Source organism: Homo sapiens, chromosome 6, assembly GCF_000001405.40.
Source record: "Homo sapiens chromosome 6, GRCh38.p14 Primary Assembly".
Lineage (NCBI taxonomy): Eukaryota > Metazoa > Chordata > Mammalia > Primates > Hominidae > Homo > Homo sapiens.
The window spans coordinates 135198572-135215920 of NC_000006.12; the positions used below are offsets into that span (position 1 = coordinate 135198572).

General features: G+C 38.8%; 1 protein-coding gene and 1 long non-coding RNA gene across 20 annotated transcripts in view; one reads left to right on the forward strand and one right to left on the reverse strand.

Annotated features, from left to right (window-relative positions):
- MYB (MYB proto-oncogene, transcription factor) overlaps positions 1–17349 on the forward strand; it is a 37865-nt gene that overhangs the window by 17264 nt on the left and 3252 nt on the right. For 12 of the 18 annotated variants that reach the window (NR_134958.2, NR_134961.2, NR_134959.2 and 9 more), the window contains 5 exons: positions 337–479; positions 1514–1628; positions 1719–1844; positions 3068–3178; positions 4646–4753. Coding sequence is in view for 9 of the 18 variants with exons in the window: in NM_001130173.2 (NP_001123645.1) it covers positions 337–479; positions 1514–1628; positions 1719–1844; positions 3068–3178; positions 4646–4753 (603 nt within the window). In the remaining 9 variants the exon portion in view is untranslated. Of the gene's footprint in view, positions 1–336; positions 480–954; positions 1011–1513; positions 1629–1718; positions 1987–3067; positions 3179–4645; positions 4754–17349 lie in introns of those variants that run through there. The other 6 variants (NR_134965.2, NR_134960.2, NR_134964.2 and 3 more) reach the window with 4 other exon arrangements.
- The window catches only part of LOC105378011 (uncharacterized), a 40301-nt gene that overhangs the window by 2677 nt on the left and 20275 nt on the right, over positions 1–17349 (reverse strand). For both annotated transcript variants that reach the window (XR_001744368.2, XR_001744367.2), the window contains exon 2: positions 16828–16929. This is a non-coding gene — a long non-coding RNA (uncharacterized LOC105378011). The remainder of the gene's footprint in view (positions 1–16827; positions 16930–17349) is intronic.

The following is a 17349-nucleotide window of genomic DNA, read 5'->3' on the forward strand; positions in this document are numbered from 1 at the left end:
TTTTCCCCAAAATCACTAAAGCCTTTTAAATGTTAATAAAGAACACATCTCATTCTCTTTAATGACAAGTGTCATTTATTGAGAGTATTTTCTCACAGTTTTGCAAGTTTTTCAGCAATGACCCTAAATTTTATTTCTTGGAAACCACACCCAAATCCTGGGTGCTCAATTGAAATAAAACAATACCCTAGTCAATATAACATGCTTGTTAGCATCTTTATTATTTAATATAGTGGGTCAGGAAAACATTCTTGTTATCTAGGTGTGATTTTTAAATTGGGGAGAATAAAGAATTACCATCTAATCTAAGTATTTTTTCTTTCTCTCCATATTTAGTTCTTAAACACTTCCAGTAACCATGAAAACTCAGACTTGGAAATGCCTTCTTTAACTTCCACCCCCCTCATTGGTCACAAATTGACTGTTACAACACCATTTCATAGAGACCAGACTGTGAAAACTCAAAAGGAAAATACTGTGTAAGTCTTTGGTTCAGGAATAAAATGATTTATCTTATTTACTTATATTTAATTAATGGAATATAGTTCCCAGATGTCTGATCCACTTGTATGTGCATAATTTTACTGACCATTTATATATAATCATGTCTATTCCCACATTGAATATATCTGTCCTGGGCATATTACAACTACCTACAGGTAGAAGATGGGAAGATAAACTAGATTCCTTTTGTAACTTACTCCAAAATTTCCTATATATGCACAAGTAGTTTTCATAAAACTTTTCCATTCGGTTTGTTTGTTCCCTCCATAAGGCCTTCTTATGAAAGCCAGATTTTCAACCTCCTTTCCTCTCTAATTGTAAGCTTCAGAATAAGAACGAGTATGGTTTCTTACCTAGTTTGTATTTTTATTTAATTTTATTTGTTTATTATTTATTTATTTTTAGTTTGTATTTTTTAATCTTATTTTTTCTTTTTGAATTTATGTGTAGATAGGACCTCTTCTGACATCCCCAGGAATATTATATGATTAGAAGCCAAGGGATGAGTAAGCAGTCATTTTTATTCAATAAAGCCTTAATCAATTCAGAGAAATGGTAGAGAAAGTGTGAATTATCAGAAACCTTGAAAAGAAATGCACTGTTATTTCGAAGTACAAAAAGTAAATTTTAAAAGTTTAACATGTTTTGTAGTATGGGCTCTGTTTTCATGAATAGGGAAACCTGATTTGTAAATGACATCAGGTCTTCTTGATGCTCATAGTCTTATACAGATCATAGGCACTACATGTGTCTTCAGAGCCATTAAGGAAAGATGTTAAATCATTTAATGCTTTTAGTCTTCGAGGTATAATATTTTGAAATATTTGAAAATATGTGATATGCATATTCTCTTTTTCTTAACGAATAACGTGATTAATCAGCACACCCCAATTCCATATCCGGAACAGAGTTTATTGTATTCAGTGGAAAAATGTTAAATGTAACAGGTAAAGCCATGTAGGGACATTTATTCTTTTGTATTGAGCCACTGCTTGTTTTCTTTTTAAAGTTTTAGAACCCCAGCTATCAAAAGGTCAATCTTAGAAAGCTCTCCAAGAACTCCTACACCATTCAAACATGCACTTGCAGCTCAAGAAATTAAATACGGTCCCCTGAAGATGCTAGTAAGTTCTAGAAAAGTTTTTGGATTTCATTGGTTTATTAGTCCCATTAGGAGTTCTCTCTGATGCAAAAATACCCACTCTTCCGTTTAGCCTCAGACACCCTCTCATCTAGTAGAAGATCTGCAGGATGTGATCAAACAGGAATCTGATGAATCTGGAATTGTTGCTGAGTTTCAAGAAAATGGACCACCCTTACTGAAGAAAATCAAACAAGAGGTAAACACGCAACCCTTTGGAAGCAACAAGCTGAGAATCCTGCCCCCTTTATTCCTTGTGTGCAGCTTGATGTGTCTGCCATTGGCACTGTGCAACACCACGACTTTTCGTGCAAGATTTTCATACAAGGTGCAGCGAAAAGGTACTGCCAGACTGTAGGCATCATCAACCTTTCCTTTGGGAAGCCAAGCCATCTCTATCTACTTCATGTTTGGACAGAAAACATACTAGAGAGTATCAAGAAAAGGGAGGGAAAGAGGTTTTTAATGTACTTTTAAACATTACTGATTATATAAAGTTGATATTTCATTTTTAGATGTGAAGAATTGGAATTTAAATTAAAATAATAGTATCTTTAATTAATTGTATTAAAAAAAGGGAGGCTGGGCGCGGTGGCTCATACCTGTAATCCCAGCACTTTGGGAGGCTGAGGTGGGCAGATCACAAGGTCAGGAGTTCGAGATCATCCTGGCTAACATGGTGAAACCCCGTATCCACTAAAAATACAAAAAAATTAGCTGGGTTTGGTGGCGGGCGCCTGTAGTCCCAGCTACTCAGGAGTCTGAAGCAGGATTATGGTGTGAACCCGGGAGGCAGATCTTGCAGTGAGCCAAGATCGTACCACTGCACTCCAGCCTGGGAGACAGCAAGACTCCGTCTCAAAAAAAATAAAAATTAAAATTAAAAAAGAGAATCTAACCTGCAAGGATCAAAGTTTTAGCTTGTTGGCAACAGCTGTTTTCCACCAGGTTAGATACAGTGCTTCTTGAATTTATTTTCATGTAAAGATAAGTATTTTTTTTTATAGCTAAAAATCTGATTTGATTATTTAGTAATGGAGAATTTTACCAGAATGTGATTAAAAACCAGTCTTTTGTCACCAAAAGATCTTTTATGTCACCAAAATAAAATCCTTGACGGATACAACACTACTAGGTGTATCATTAAAATATATTCTTAATAGAATAAACACCTAGAATCAGAACATTGGTTGAAAACGTAGGAGCTTTACAGGGGCAGTAAATTTGGAGCTAGTCACATTTCAAATTTGCCATCAGTGTTTCTTTGTTGAATCCAGAAGATAGAGCAAATTGAGCTGATAGTGTAAGTTAGCAACATAGTTTTATAAAAGTATTTGAGGGACTGGCCAGAAATATACTCCTGACTGTACATGTTTCATAGGAAGTTCTAGAAACAACAAAGCACTTTCTATATGCTTTTAGGTGGAATCTCCAACTGATAAATCAGGAAACTTCTTCTGCTCACACCACTGGGAAGGGGACAGTCTGAATACCCAACTGTTCACGCAGACCTCGCCTGTGGCAGATGCACCGGTAAGTACGTGTGCACCAGCCCCCAAGTTGTTATGTGACACTGGTGCCTCATGAAATCCTGTGTGTGGCATAGGGCTGCTGCGGTTTCAGCACTCCCTCTTTAACACATCTTATTTCTAAATGTTCTCCTGCACATGATTTTTAAAAAATGATTATTAATGTAGAGTATAAAGTTGAGATTTTTTCATGTATTAGAAACATTGCAGACTTTTTCATTATTTGTTTTCTCATTATTTGAGTGCCTTGGCCATTTAAAAAAATCTACATGGATATAAAAACTATGTTCATTTATATATTTTCCTTTATTTGTCTTCTAAATAATATTGTCTTCTTGTTAAGTTGTCTCTTGTTTGGTTTGTGTAGCATCTCATATGGTATCAACCACGTTGTCTATAGTAGATGCCCAGTATTGTACCCAATTGCTTTGGGTTACTACCACCATTTTTAAAGTTTATAATTTGTGAAGGGTTGTCCTTATGTCTTAAGGAAAATCAGAGCTAATAACAGCTGCTAAGATTTATTTAGTAGGTACTAAGTGGTAAGTACTGCTCTAGGGGCTTTCGATGAATTGATTCAGTTAATTCTCACAATTATCCTGTAAGGTTGGTATTATTTTTATTAATTTTTATTTTTTTTGAGACGGAGTTTCGCTCTTGTTGCCCAGACTGGAGTGCAATGGCACGATTTCGGCTCACTGCAACCTCTGCCTCCCGGGTTCAAGCGATTCTCCTGCCTCAGTCTCCCGAGAAGCTGGGATTACAGGCACCCGCCACCACGCCCAGCTAATTTTGAATTTTTAGTAGAGACGGGGTTTCTCCATGTTGGTCAGGCTGGTCTTGAACTCCTGACCTCAGGTGATCTACCCGCCTCGGCCTCCCAAAGTGCTAGGATTACAGGCGTGAGCCACCGCGCCCGGCCAGGTGGGTATTATTATCATTTCTATTATGTCAACTGGAAAACAGAGGCACAAAGAGGCTTAGTCATTTGCTCAAGATTGTATACCTAATAAGGGATGGTGCTGGGTTGGAACTCAGAAGGTCTTGTTCTAAATTCCCTACTTTTCACCATTTTTTGCCAATAATTTATAGCTCTAAAATATTGATAGTTCTGTACCAATATATGAAATAAAGTGTTCTCTCCCCAGAACTTAGTAAATCTTCTATTTTGAAAGGCATGTATTTATTAATTCATTTAGCAGATGTTTTTTGAGTGCCTAACACATGCCTAGAACTCTGGGATCCCAAAGGAGCTTTGTGTTGTGGTGATGTTTGCCACAATGGGATTAAGGTTCAGACATAGTTGATTTCTCCTTTTAGCTCATAGTGGGGAGAATTTCTGGCAGATGACTGCATTTTTTTATGCTAATGTGTATCATCTCATAGTAATCTACTCTCCACAGTGTTAGAAAAATGTGGCTCTCATATTATCCAACCTCATTTAAATTTCAAATTATTCTCTTCCCTTTAGAATATTCTTACAAGCTCCGTTTTAATGGCACCAGCATCAGAAGATGAAGACAATGTTCTCAAAGCATTTACAGTACCTAAAAACAGGTCCCTGGCGAGCCCCTTGCAGGTAATTACTATTCCAACATTGGTATTTTAAAATTCATTCACTGAAAAACTGTCATCTTTGGTGGTGGTGGTGGTGGTGGTGATGGTAGTGCTGGTGGTCTGTTTTTCGTTTTCAACATTTTAGACATAGGGGAGTAATGCTTTTATACAATTCTTGATGTCTAGAAAAATCCAATAATTCCTTTTTGCTACTCATATGAGACATGCTAGAAATTTTTATCAGTGCAGATTCCCCAAAGCATGATGAAATGAAACATTTCTTACTGTGACTGAGACTAAGATGTATTACACGTGTGTCACTATCTTCTTCTGCCCTCAAATGTTTTATAAAAATATATCAATATAGTTTACTTTATGTTCCAAATTTTTTATTTTTTATGCTGTATCCCTAGGCAACCAAAGCTCAGAGACTGTTCCAATTTTAAATGAAGTCTGAAATTAGTCAGACAGAAAATAATTGCAATGTATTTGACTGTCAGAATAAGAAAGTCAACTGTCAATGTTGTGAGGCCGATCTGAAGTTGACCATCTGCTGTCAGGTTTTAATATCAAAAGAGATTTCCCTTGTAACCCTAAAGTGGGTGTGTGTTGATGAAATATAACCAATTCCAAATTAATCCTGAGCCAAATGTAAATAAGAATGCAAATTTTGCTTCCCTAAATTATTTAAAGCAGTTTCTGACATTAAATAGCCCAATACCCAGCCACCTGCAGAGCCCTCTCCTCCATCCCCCTGTGCCATGCAGAGGGAAACTTCATAACCCTAGAGGAAGTGAAGAGCCTGGATTCAGAAGCTGAAGGTCATATTTCTTGCTGTAAGTTAAATGGCACGATCATAGGACAGCAGCCTTTGAGTCTGCCCATTACCTTAAAGGGATTTCCCATTCTTGTGATAGTTTCTCCTTCCAAATTGTGAGAATCTGAAAACTTGCCCGGTAAGTATTTGTGATGCTTAGTTTTTCAGGGTTTTTTGTTGATGTTGCTTTGTTTTTTGAAACAGGGTCTTACCCGGTGGCCCAGGCTGGAGTGTAGTGGGGTGATCTCGGCTCACTGCAACCTCCGCCTCCCAGATTCAAGTGATTCTTATGCCTCAGCCTCCCAATTAGCTGGAATTACAGGTGTGAGCCACCGGCAACCCAGCCGTTTTTTTGTATTTTTGGATAGAGACAAGGTTTTGCCATGTTGGCCAGGCAGGTCTCGAATTCCTGGTTTCAAGTGATCTGCCCACCTCGGCCTCCTACAGTGCTGGGATTACAGGTGTGAGCTACCGCACCTAGCCAGTGCGTAGTATTATTGTAAAATAAGGATTGCAAGCACATTTTGTTTAATTAAATCAGATTGCTTCCTTCCTGGCCTCTCTCTGACAGCAATTGTTTTGGTAAAATGGCTGTGGACTGGAATGTGAGACAGGGAGTCAGTATTTATGGGGAATCTGGACAAGTTCCTGCGTCAGTGAGGCTGGAGTTGGCCCCGTGTGGAGAAGACTCAGAATACCACAAAGAGGCCAGACGCAGTGGCTCATGCCTGTAATCCCAGCACTTTGGGAGGCCAAGGCGGGTGGATAACTTGAGGTCAGGAGTTTGAGACCAGCCTGGCCAACACGGTGAAACCCCATCTCTACTAATCCCAGCTACTCGGGAGGCTGAGACAGGAGGATCGCTTGAACCCAGGAGGCAGAGGCTGCAGTGAGCCGAGATCATGACACTGCACTCCAGCCTGGGTGACAGAATGAGACTCCATCTCAAAAAAAAGAATATCACAAATAATTGGGAGATGAGGAAGAGAATGAACTCCACCCAGACATAAGAGGAACCCAGAAAGGGAGTTACAAAGATTTCAAGGCAAAGGGCAGCCATTTCAAAATTTTCCTGAAAGCTGTTCTTAGGTCCAGAAGAAAAGCTTTTGCTTTTTTTTTTTTTTTTAATTATTCCCACCTAAGTTACTTGGCTCTTGGTTTCTAGAGAACAGAATTCAACTACTGCTATTCGTGTTTTAATTAAGTTAGATTAAGTTTTGCATATATTTTCTAACCTAGTCTGGGGCCAACTTGTATTTGTAGTAGTACAGAAAAAGTCTGTTCTAAATTTCAAAAAGCCAACACATCAATATACTTGGGGACAATTACCATTACATAAGTTGAAACCCATAGTTCAGTATTGAGCTTTATCAGTATATTTGTATTTTATTTAATGGAAATATTGGTTATCTTTGAAACTCAAAATTAAGTTATAGCTCTATTTTATTAATCTGTATTCTCCTGTCTATCAGTGAGTCATATTGGCACTTTATGAATTCTAACATCTGTACACTGAGATTAAGTTGTGTATGGTGAAGGTAATATTTGTCAATTCTATCAAACTGAATAATTGAGACTTGAAAGTTAATTTTAGAGTCAATACTCCTGTCTAAACCATATAGTTTACTGGTTTACACTGACCAGATATATTTTAATAATCTGCTATAAAGCCAGGCTCAGTGGCTCATGCCTGTAATCACAATACTTTGGGAAGCCAAGACTGGAGGATAGCTTGAGACCAGGAATTTGAGACCAGCCTGGGCAACATAGTGAGACTCAGTCTCTATTAAAAAATAATTAGCTGGGCTGGGCGTGGTGGCTCACGCCTGTAATCCCAGCACTTTTGGAGGCCGAGGTGGGCGGATCACGAGGTCAGGAGATCGAGACCATCCTGGCTAACACGGTGAAACCCCGTCTCTACTAAAAATACAAAAAAATTAGCCGGGCGTAGTGGCGGGCACCTGTAGTCCCAGCTACTTGGGAGGCTGAGGCAGGAGAATGGCATGAACCCAGGAGGCGGAGCTTGCAGTGAGCTGAGATAGCGCCACTACACTCCGGCCTGGGTGACTGAGCGAGACTCCATCTCAAAAAAAAAAAAAAAAAAAAAATAATAATAATAATAATAATAATTAGCTGGGTGTAGTGGTACATACCTGTAATCCTAGCTACTTGGGAGGCTAGGGCAGGAGGATCCCTTAAGCCCAGGAGTTCAAGGTTACAGTGAGCTATGATTATACCCCTGCACTCTAGCCTGGGAGACAAGACCAAGACCTTGTCTCTAAAAAAAATTTTTTAAGGCCAGCCGTGGTGGCTCACACCTGTAATCCCAGCACTTTGGGAGGCAGAGGCGGGTGGATCACAAGGTCAGGAGTTTGAGACCAACCTGGCCAACATGGTGAAACTCTGTCTTTACTAAAAATACAAAAAATAGCCAGGCGTGGTGGTGCGCACATGTAATCCCAGCTACTTGGGAGGCTGCGGCAGGAGAATTGCTTGAACCCAGGAGGTGAAAGTTGCAGTGAGCCCAGATCGTGCCATTGAACTCCAGCCTAGGCAATAGAGTGAGACTCTATCTCAAACAAACAAACAAAAATTTAATCTGCTATAATAGATACTAATTTATTTTAAGAAATACTTAGTGAATGTTGTTCTACATACTTGCCAATTGGGAGGAAAAAAGAAATATTCACTAAATGAATGAATGTTATACACCAAGTATCTCCTTCATTTTATGTCATGGAGTTCTAGCTTCTGATATCACAGAAATATGTGATTTCTAAAATGTTTCAGACTATTGTGATAAGTATTGGAAAATGCATCAAGTGACTCTAAATATTTAAACATACATCACCTATATTTCATATAATCCTGATTCAATAATATTTCTATAGATTTTTTATGCAATTTGGTAATTTTGTTTGTTTGAAACACAGTGCTATTTCATATATTTCTATTGATAATCCAATTTGACCTAATTAGGCATATTTCTCACACATGGTATTATTGAACATATTGCACATTTATTAAATGATATGTATTTTACTTAAGAGTACTTTATATAATCTATAATTTTTGTAATTTGTACTTATAATAAATCAAATATTAAGTGGGATTTTAGCCAAACCATCTAGACATTTTTGTCATAATGTTTTTATTAAAACAGCAAAATAGGAGTTTCAAAATATTTTAAAATTTGAATACTTCTAAAATGTAAAATGTTTGCAACTGGTGTAATGCAGTTGATTGTCTATCCCTCTAAACTGTCTAAATAACTTAGGTTCAAGAACAGTTTATTGAAGAACATAGGAACTGCGCAATTCTGTGTTTTATCATTTCAGTTTTAATCACCCCGGCTTGATTATGGCAACAACATTTTAGACAAGCAATTATTACTATTTTTGAGGCCCATATACTGGGCCATTATGGTTTTGCTTCTAACGTACATATAAATGCACATGCAATATATATAAATTATGTTTGCTGTTTTAAAATTAGAAATGCCGAGAAGCTATGTGTTTGACATTTTATTATAAATTTTGTACACACATAGATGTATGGAAAATATACTATGTTCTAGAGTCAACAATTGTTATCATTTTGCCATATTTACCTCATCTCTTTTTTTTTTTTTTTGAGATGAAATCTCATTCTGTTGCCCAGGCTGGGGTGCAGTGACGCAATCTCAGCTCACTGTAACCTCTGCCTCCCAGGTTCAAGCAATTCTCCTGCCTCAGTCCCCTGAGTAGCTGGGACTACAGATATCTGCCTGGCTAATTTTTGTATTTTTAGTAGAGATAGGGTTTCTCCATGTTGGCTAGGCTGGTCTCGAACTGCTGACCTCAAGTGATCCACCTGCCTCGGCCTCCCAAAGTGCTGGGATTATAGATGTGAGCCACCACGCCTGGGCTACCTCATCTCTTTTTTATGAAGTTTTTATTTTTATTTTTTAATTTTTTTTTTAATTTTTTTTTTTTTTTGAGACAGCGTCTTGTTCTGTCACCCAGGCTGGAGTGCAGTGGCATGATCTCGGCTCACTGCAACCTCCACCTCTTGGGTTCAAGTGATTCTTCTGCCTTAGCCTCTCGAGTAGCTGGGACTACAGGCGCTTGTCACCATGCTAGCTAATTTTTGGTATTTTTAGTAGGGACGGGGTTTCACCGTGTTAGCCAGGATGGTCTCAATCTCCTGACCTCATGATCGGCCCGCCTTGGCCTACCAAAGTGCTGGGATTACAGACATGAGCCACTGCACCCGGCCAGTTTTTTATTTTTTATTTTTTTGAGACAAGGCCTTGCTCTGTCACCCAGGCTGGAGTGCAGTGGCAAGATCATGGCTCACTGCAGCCTACCTCCTGGACTCAAGCAATCCTCCTCCCTCAGCCTCCTGAGTAGCTGGGACTATAGGCACATGCCACCATGCCCAGCTAGTTTTTTTTTTTTTTTTTAGAGATGGGGTCTCCCTGTGTTGCCCAGCCTGGCCTCAAACTCCTGGGCTCAAGCAATCCTTCTGCCTTGACCTCCCAAAGTGCTGGGATTACAGGCAGGAGCCACCCTGCCCAGCCTGAAGTATTTTAAAGTAAATTCCAACTAATATAACATTTTATTCTCATGTACTTCCAGATGTGTCTCTAAAAATAGACATTTTTATATATAACCTAATACCATCATTACATATTTAACAATAATTCTTTAATCTTCTCATTCTCAGGTATATTTAAATTTTCCCATTAATCCAAAAAAGAATCAAAATTGAAACAATTTCACACATTGCATTTGGTTAAGCCTCTTAAATCTCTTTTACTCTCTAGTCCAGTGCTGTCTAATAGAACTTCTACAGTGATGTGAAGGAAATATCTAATATGCTGCTATCCACTATGATAGCCAGTGGCTTTTGAGCACTTGAAATATGGCAAGTGCTGCTGAGGAGCAGAATTTTCAATTTGAATTAATTTAAGTTGCTTTAATTTAATAGCCACATTTCCTTACTCTCTTACTGGAATCAGCCATTTCCCCATGGTGCTCTGAATCCTCTTAGTGAGAAATGGTACATAGACACCAAAATCAGGGTGCTAAGTCTGTCCATTGTTATGTGGTTTGTCATTGAGATACAAATAATTTTTTTTGTTTTGTTTTGAGACAGAGTCTCACTCTGTCACCCAGGCTGCAGTGCAGTGGTACAATCTTGGCTTACTGCAACCTCCACCTCCTTGGTCCAAGCTATTCTCCTGCCTCAGTTTCCCAAGTAGTTGGGATTACAGGCACCCACCACCACACTCAGCTAATTTTCGTATTTTTAGTAGAGACATGGTTTCACCATGTTGGCCAGGCCAGGCTCAAACTCCCAACCTCAGGTGATCTGCCTGTCTCAGCCTCCCAAAGTGCTAGGATTACAGGCGTGAGCTGCCACACCTAGCCAAGACTCAGTGAATTTTAATAATCCAGAGCTCTCCATGTATCCCCTAATCTATAATCTACAGTGCTTAAATAGAGGCTTTTATAAGCCATTATGTACACTCATGTTATGTTTGTTTTTTTAATTACTTAGTCTTTTTCCAAAAGGAATTTGCAACAGCTACATAATCTTATAATTGTTATGTTTCTTTTATATTTTCACAGTTGTTTTAATTTTAAATTGTAAAAGCAAACAGGATATTCTTATAATAAAAATGTTCTGAGATGTTTTTCATATTTGTGTCTTTCATGTGGCTCAGAATATATGAGATTTTCATGTCATATCATTGTCAGTATTCAGCCTTTTCTCCACATTGTGTGGGGTAGAGGATAGAGTCTAGAAGCTTATAAAATGGTCACAAATGAGGAAGTAGAGAAAACATTCAGCCTAGAAAGCGTGCATTTGTGGTATGAAAGGCACTGTGGAATGCTGCTGGATTCTGCCCTTCAGTAGTTACCCGAGAGAGACCGAGGCAGACGCATAGCTCCCTCCTCAGCAAGGAGAAAAGAGTTGCCTGCTTTCCTCAGCGTGCTTTCCATTTCCTTTGTTTTGAAAAAAGCACATTATGCTAATCAACTTTCCTTAAGGTAGACATTTTTATTGGTAGATCAAAAACCGTGCTTTAAGTTATAAGCCTTCTGAACTTCTGTATTTTTCTCTTAAATTATAATTTCCTTTTATTCCTATTTAAAACCCAAGTGTAAAAGATGTGTTCATAGGCTTTCTACTCACTCACTTGCCTCTTTTTCGTAACCACAGAATGACAGCCTTAAATTTTAATTTCCTGACTTGGCTTGCCCATGGCCTGACTTTTTTAAAACAAGGAGTTTAAGTTAAAGAAATTTCTCCAGCCATTATTATTTAAACACATTTACACAGTATCAAAGAATTTAAAAATGTTGCTAGCAGTTGATACTCCCCTCAGCTTTCGGTTCAGCGTGTTTTAGATTGCTCCTATTTTGTTATTTGTCTATGAACTTTTATATTTTTCAAAAAAATAAGGCAAGCCCTTTTTGCCTGATAGGCACTGCTGAGCAGTATAATAAACAAGCATGGGGGCAACAGAACCTGGGTTCCAGGCTAGACTCCACTGTTTTCAAACGGCATGACTTTAATTCATCAAGTGAACACAATTAAGCAAAGTATAAGTTTGGGACCATGGAATATCCTTCACTCATCACACAGGTTACTGTGAAGATCAAATGGATATAATATTGCTTTCAAGATGGCGGCACACTTGCCACTATACACAGGTGATATTATTAGGCAGAGTCGCCACATAGTCCCTGTCCTTGAAATGCAGGCAAGGAGCCCTCACCAAAGGCCAGGGTGGTTTTTTGTTTTTCGGGTTTTTGTTTGTTTTTTTCATTGTGGTATATTATTTCCTCTGGCATGCTATTCCCTGTCCCACTCTTACAGAACTGTGTCAGTGGGTCACCAAAAGAGAGAGCTGATTCAACTGATTCCTTGAAATAAAGGTAGTCAGACCTCGCGGTATGATGGAGATGAAGCAACTGATTTACTGGTTTTCTCTATTTTTCTGCTGTTCGTGTTGTCATTTAAACAGACATGGAAACCGTCTGCACACGACAGAGATCTTTCCGAGCCTTTTTCATCTAGTGTGCTGTGCTGACCCGCTCCCCTGGATGCCTGCACACTCATTTGGTTCTCCCTTTTGGTCACTTTTTTCCACTTACCCTGGCAGAAATTCACGTGGCTGTCAGTAGTAATTCAGTGACCTGCTTTCAAAAAATGTTATAAATTAAGCAGCTTTTCTGTGTATAGCTTTTGGGTTGAACTGAGAAGGGCTAAGTGAAGGGAGAAGCTATGTTGAGCTCAGAGTCAGAATGCCCTGCCCCAGACATTTTGAGATGTGAATTTTTCATTTGTTTTGTTTGGTGACACTTAGAGAGAATAAACATTCTGAGATAAAAATCTTCCTTGGGCAGGCCAGCAAAGATAGAATTGCTTTAGAGCAATTTGGCACTTGGTCTTAATCTTAATAGTTTGGAACTCATATGTGACTAAGGAAAAGGATATTGCAAAAAGTTGTGCCACCCTAGGCTATATGATATAAACTTAGAAAGTCTATCAACGTGAAAGGTGAAGAGACCTCTAGAGACATCGGGGACAAACTCCAAATTTGGGAAAGGTCCATCCACATTTGCAATTGTTAGTTAGGCTTGGGAAGTGGAGTCATTGGTGGATGAGGCAACTTCCAATCACCATCTCGATTTTTATTTCCCTAACTTTTAAGATTATTTTCTATAGAAAATCAGTAGTGCTGAAGTTGGAGTCATTTAATTGATTTGTGCCAACCTAGGGAAGCATTTACTCTCGAGAAAAGTTTGGTAACCATTAATCTTACCTTAGCAACATTTCAGTTTAAGCTTATCTCTGACTTTCCAAAGACAACTAAAGATTTCTACAGTCTCTCTTATAACTGATCCATTTTTTCAAAAGATGTCCCTTTGGGAAGGAATTCTCATTTTTAGAATTTTAGTCCAGAGGAAGTATTTTTTTTTCAGATAGGTGAAATAGAATAAGCAGAAAATTCTTATTTTTTACTGTTTTATATACCATTGATGCCTGCTTATTTTAAAACAAAACACAATAAAAACATGATACCATCTGATGAGTTGCTTTGGTTTTACTTTTTTTTTTTTTTTTTTTTTTTTTTTTTTTTTAGTTTATACAAGTTTCTTATTAGGTCAGCAAATTGTAAAACACATAATTTGCCAAGGCTTTTGAAGCCAGCAGATACTGGGTGAAGTTGCTGTATGAATATAATAATAAGAACCGTTTTTGTTCAGCTTGATGAAAAAACTATTCATGTTCTAAATGAAAATGTGAAGATCATCTAATTCTGACAGAAAACCACCTGTGGACATGGTCTTGTTTCTTTTTATTTCTTCTGTTTTCTACAAAAGATGGCAATATTTATTTAAAGTGCTTTAACAGGATATCCCAGTTAAAGCTTTGACAGACTGTTTATAGTTCACTTCTGCCCAGGGGCAATTAAAGGCACATTACAGGATAAGCGAGATGACTCCCCGGCCACAGGAGGAGGATGTGTGGGTAGGATTATTAATGTTGAAATGAATTATGATAGAGTGACATGTCTGCAAGAGCACCATGGGTTAGTAACTTAACAAGAATTCATATGCAGAAACCCATAATTCTCAGCAGTTCTTTAGGGTAAATGAAACTAAAGTTTAGGGAGAGAGAACAAGGAGAATTTGCAAAGATATGTATGACAGTATTTAAAAATGTTCTTCCAGCACAAAGACATTAATCTTCCTTTGTCAAAATAATTCTTTCTGCATGAAAAGTTGGCATGGGGCTCCCAGGCTTCAGGTAAGATGGGAGAAAGGGAGCGTTTCTTTTTTTTTGTACCAAAGTACTCAATCTTCTGATCTTCCTTGACTTTCACGACATAGGCATATGTCTACTCTGACCAGTTTGTTTCATTTATTGTGGTAAGATGTGCTTGTCTTGTGCTTTCCTGGTGCAGAAAAGGAGCTGCCTCGCTCATGCTTGGTGGCCTTTTTGTTCCTACACACAGTGGTTCTCGTACATGGTGGCTACCACATCCTGGTGTTTGTCTATACTGGGAGAATCAGGCGTTCCAAGTCATCTTGGCTGCCCTAGCTCTGAGCTTCAGGGGATATATGACTCAGAAATGCTATGCTTTCTGGAATTTGGATATTTCATTTTTATTTGTTTCTTGGTAAATTCTCTTTTGACTTAGGAGAAGCTAACTATTTGGAAAGGTCTCTCAGAACTCTAATTACAAATATATGGTACCTTCTTTATATTGATCTCATTTTTAAATACCTAGTCCTGGAGGAAGAGCTAAATATGAATACAGTGATGAGCTGTGTAGGGGATCTCACAGGAACACAGTCAGATTTCAAGTTGAAAATAGATTCAGTTGATAATACTTAGTACTAGATTCTCCTGAATCGACTTTGGGAATTCTGAGTCAACCTAAGGACTATATTACAAAGGATCAGACCTTGACTTTTAGGCCAGGTGTAGTGGCTCATGCCTGTAATCCCAGCACTTTAGGAAGCCAAGGCAAGTGGATCACTTCAGTCCAGGAGGTTGAGACTAGCCTGTGCAACACAGCGAGACCCTGTCTCTACCAAAAATACAAAAATTAGCCAGGTGTAGTGTAGCACCTGCCTGTAGTCTGAGCTACTGAGGAGGCTGAGGTTGGAGAATCAACTTTAACCCCGGATATGGAGGCTGCAGTGAGCTGTGATCATGCCAGCCTGGGCAAGGAGCAAGACCCTCTCTCAAAAACGAAAACAAAAAAGACACAGAACTTGACTTTTAACAGGAGGCATAGTAATAGCAAGCATAAGATTGTTTTAACATAGCATTTAAGATAATTTACGCATTTAGAAAATTAATTCTGGCTGGTTGTAGTAGCTTATCCTTAATCCTAACCCTATGAGAGGCCAAGGCAGGAAGATCACCTGAGGCCAGGAGTTTGAGACCAGCCTAGGCAACATAGCGAGACCCCCGCTCTCTACAAAAAATTTTTTTTAAAAAACATAGCTGGGCATGGTGACACACTCCTGTAGTCCCAGCTACTCAGGAGGCTGAGGCGGGAGGCTTGCTTGAGGCCAGGAGTTTGAGGGAGCTGTGATCACGCCCCTGCACTCCAGCCTGGGCAACAGAATGAGGCCCTATATCTAAAAAAAAGAAAAATGGACAAGAAAATTCTATATTGATTGAAGCCCAGCTAAATAGAAAAAAAAAAATTCTAATAGGCCATTTTAAAGACTTTGGAAAAATTCTTAGCTAGAGTAAAACAGAAGCAATCCTTTCTTTCCTGGTTCTCACATCTCCATTCTCACCTTCATTCCCCTTCCCCTCCATTTGTTTCAAGTATTTTTCTTTTCTATGTGTGTCTTTATGTAAATTTAAATTTACCTACAAGATATTATGATATTAAGATATTTCATTCTGCTTCCTGTTTTGTCACTTGTTCTTTAAGATCCAAGTCCTTGGCTCCATGTGCATCTAATCCTTGCCATAAGCCCTGCATCGTACTTCATATTCACCATATTGAACTATTCACCCTCAAGTAGTCACTATTAAATGTCACACTGTTGTAGCGACTACAAATGCAAGCTCAGTAACTGAAAAGATAACATTAAATTTTGTTTTTTAATTGGTTTCCTGTGTCAATTTCATGTTTCGGGAATTTGTATGGACAGATAGACACCAGAGAGATATGCGTATTTCACCTGCATGCTTGAGGCTAGAGAAACATGATTTATTCAGAACTATTTCAAATACTGTAACTAACCTGGTAATTTTGTTTAGGAAAACATTAAATTCGGAATAGAAGGCAATTCAGAATACCTGTCTGTTATCTTTGTCTTGTCATTTTTGAGATACTCAGTTCCTGGAAAATATTATGATAATCCATCTTGCTATGTAGTATTTCAAGTTATATGTTGAGCCTCTGAGCTTGCAGAGTGAACATTTCTATTCATAGACAGTGCTGTTGACATCAGTGGGGAGATGGCACAAGCTTTGTGCCCTAGGAAAGTTTAAAAGCTAGAACATTACACTGCAAACCCTATGTCAGGAAACTTTGTTGCAGCAACTAGGCAAGGAAACCCTACCACTGTACCCATACCTTGTTTTAGTAGAATTATGTTTCTTTGCTAAGAAGTCTGGTGACTCTCACACCCCATCTCAGCACTTTCCTGGATTCCAAGGCCCTGGTGCCCTGAGCACACAACTTCCCAGGTTCCTTTTATTGTTTCTGATAAGAACTCGAATTAGAGGCAGCGTCTGGTACTCACCAGGGGTGTGGTCCCATGGGTGACATTCTTGCTCCATCATTTCTTACCCAGGTAACCTTGAGTATGGCGCCTAAATCCTCTCTTCCTTTCAAATTGCCTGGTCTGTAAAATGGATGCAGTGAATGGTAGCTATGCCACAGGTGTTTTGTGTGAGAATTAAATGAGAGGAGTTATATCAATAACACTTAGAGGCATGCGGTGCCTATAGTGAGGGCTTGTTTTATGTTGTCGTTTAACCCTTTCTTTCTCAGCCCTCCCCCACTCCACATCCCCTCCCACTGGCAATGTACAAATTGCAGCTTCCTGCCTCTTTCCTGCTATCTCGCTCCCTGGATGACATCCCTGCGTTTCCACCTCTCTCTCCCCTAATCTTAGCTGTTTTCACCCTTTCCCCACAGCATTGCCTTGACAGTTCCTCAGTGTCCCATCCCCTCTTCCCATGGACAACACCACAAACCTGCGCACACGGCCTGTTATTATTCCTCCTGTTTCACCTGTGTCCATTCTGTCTCATAAAGGACA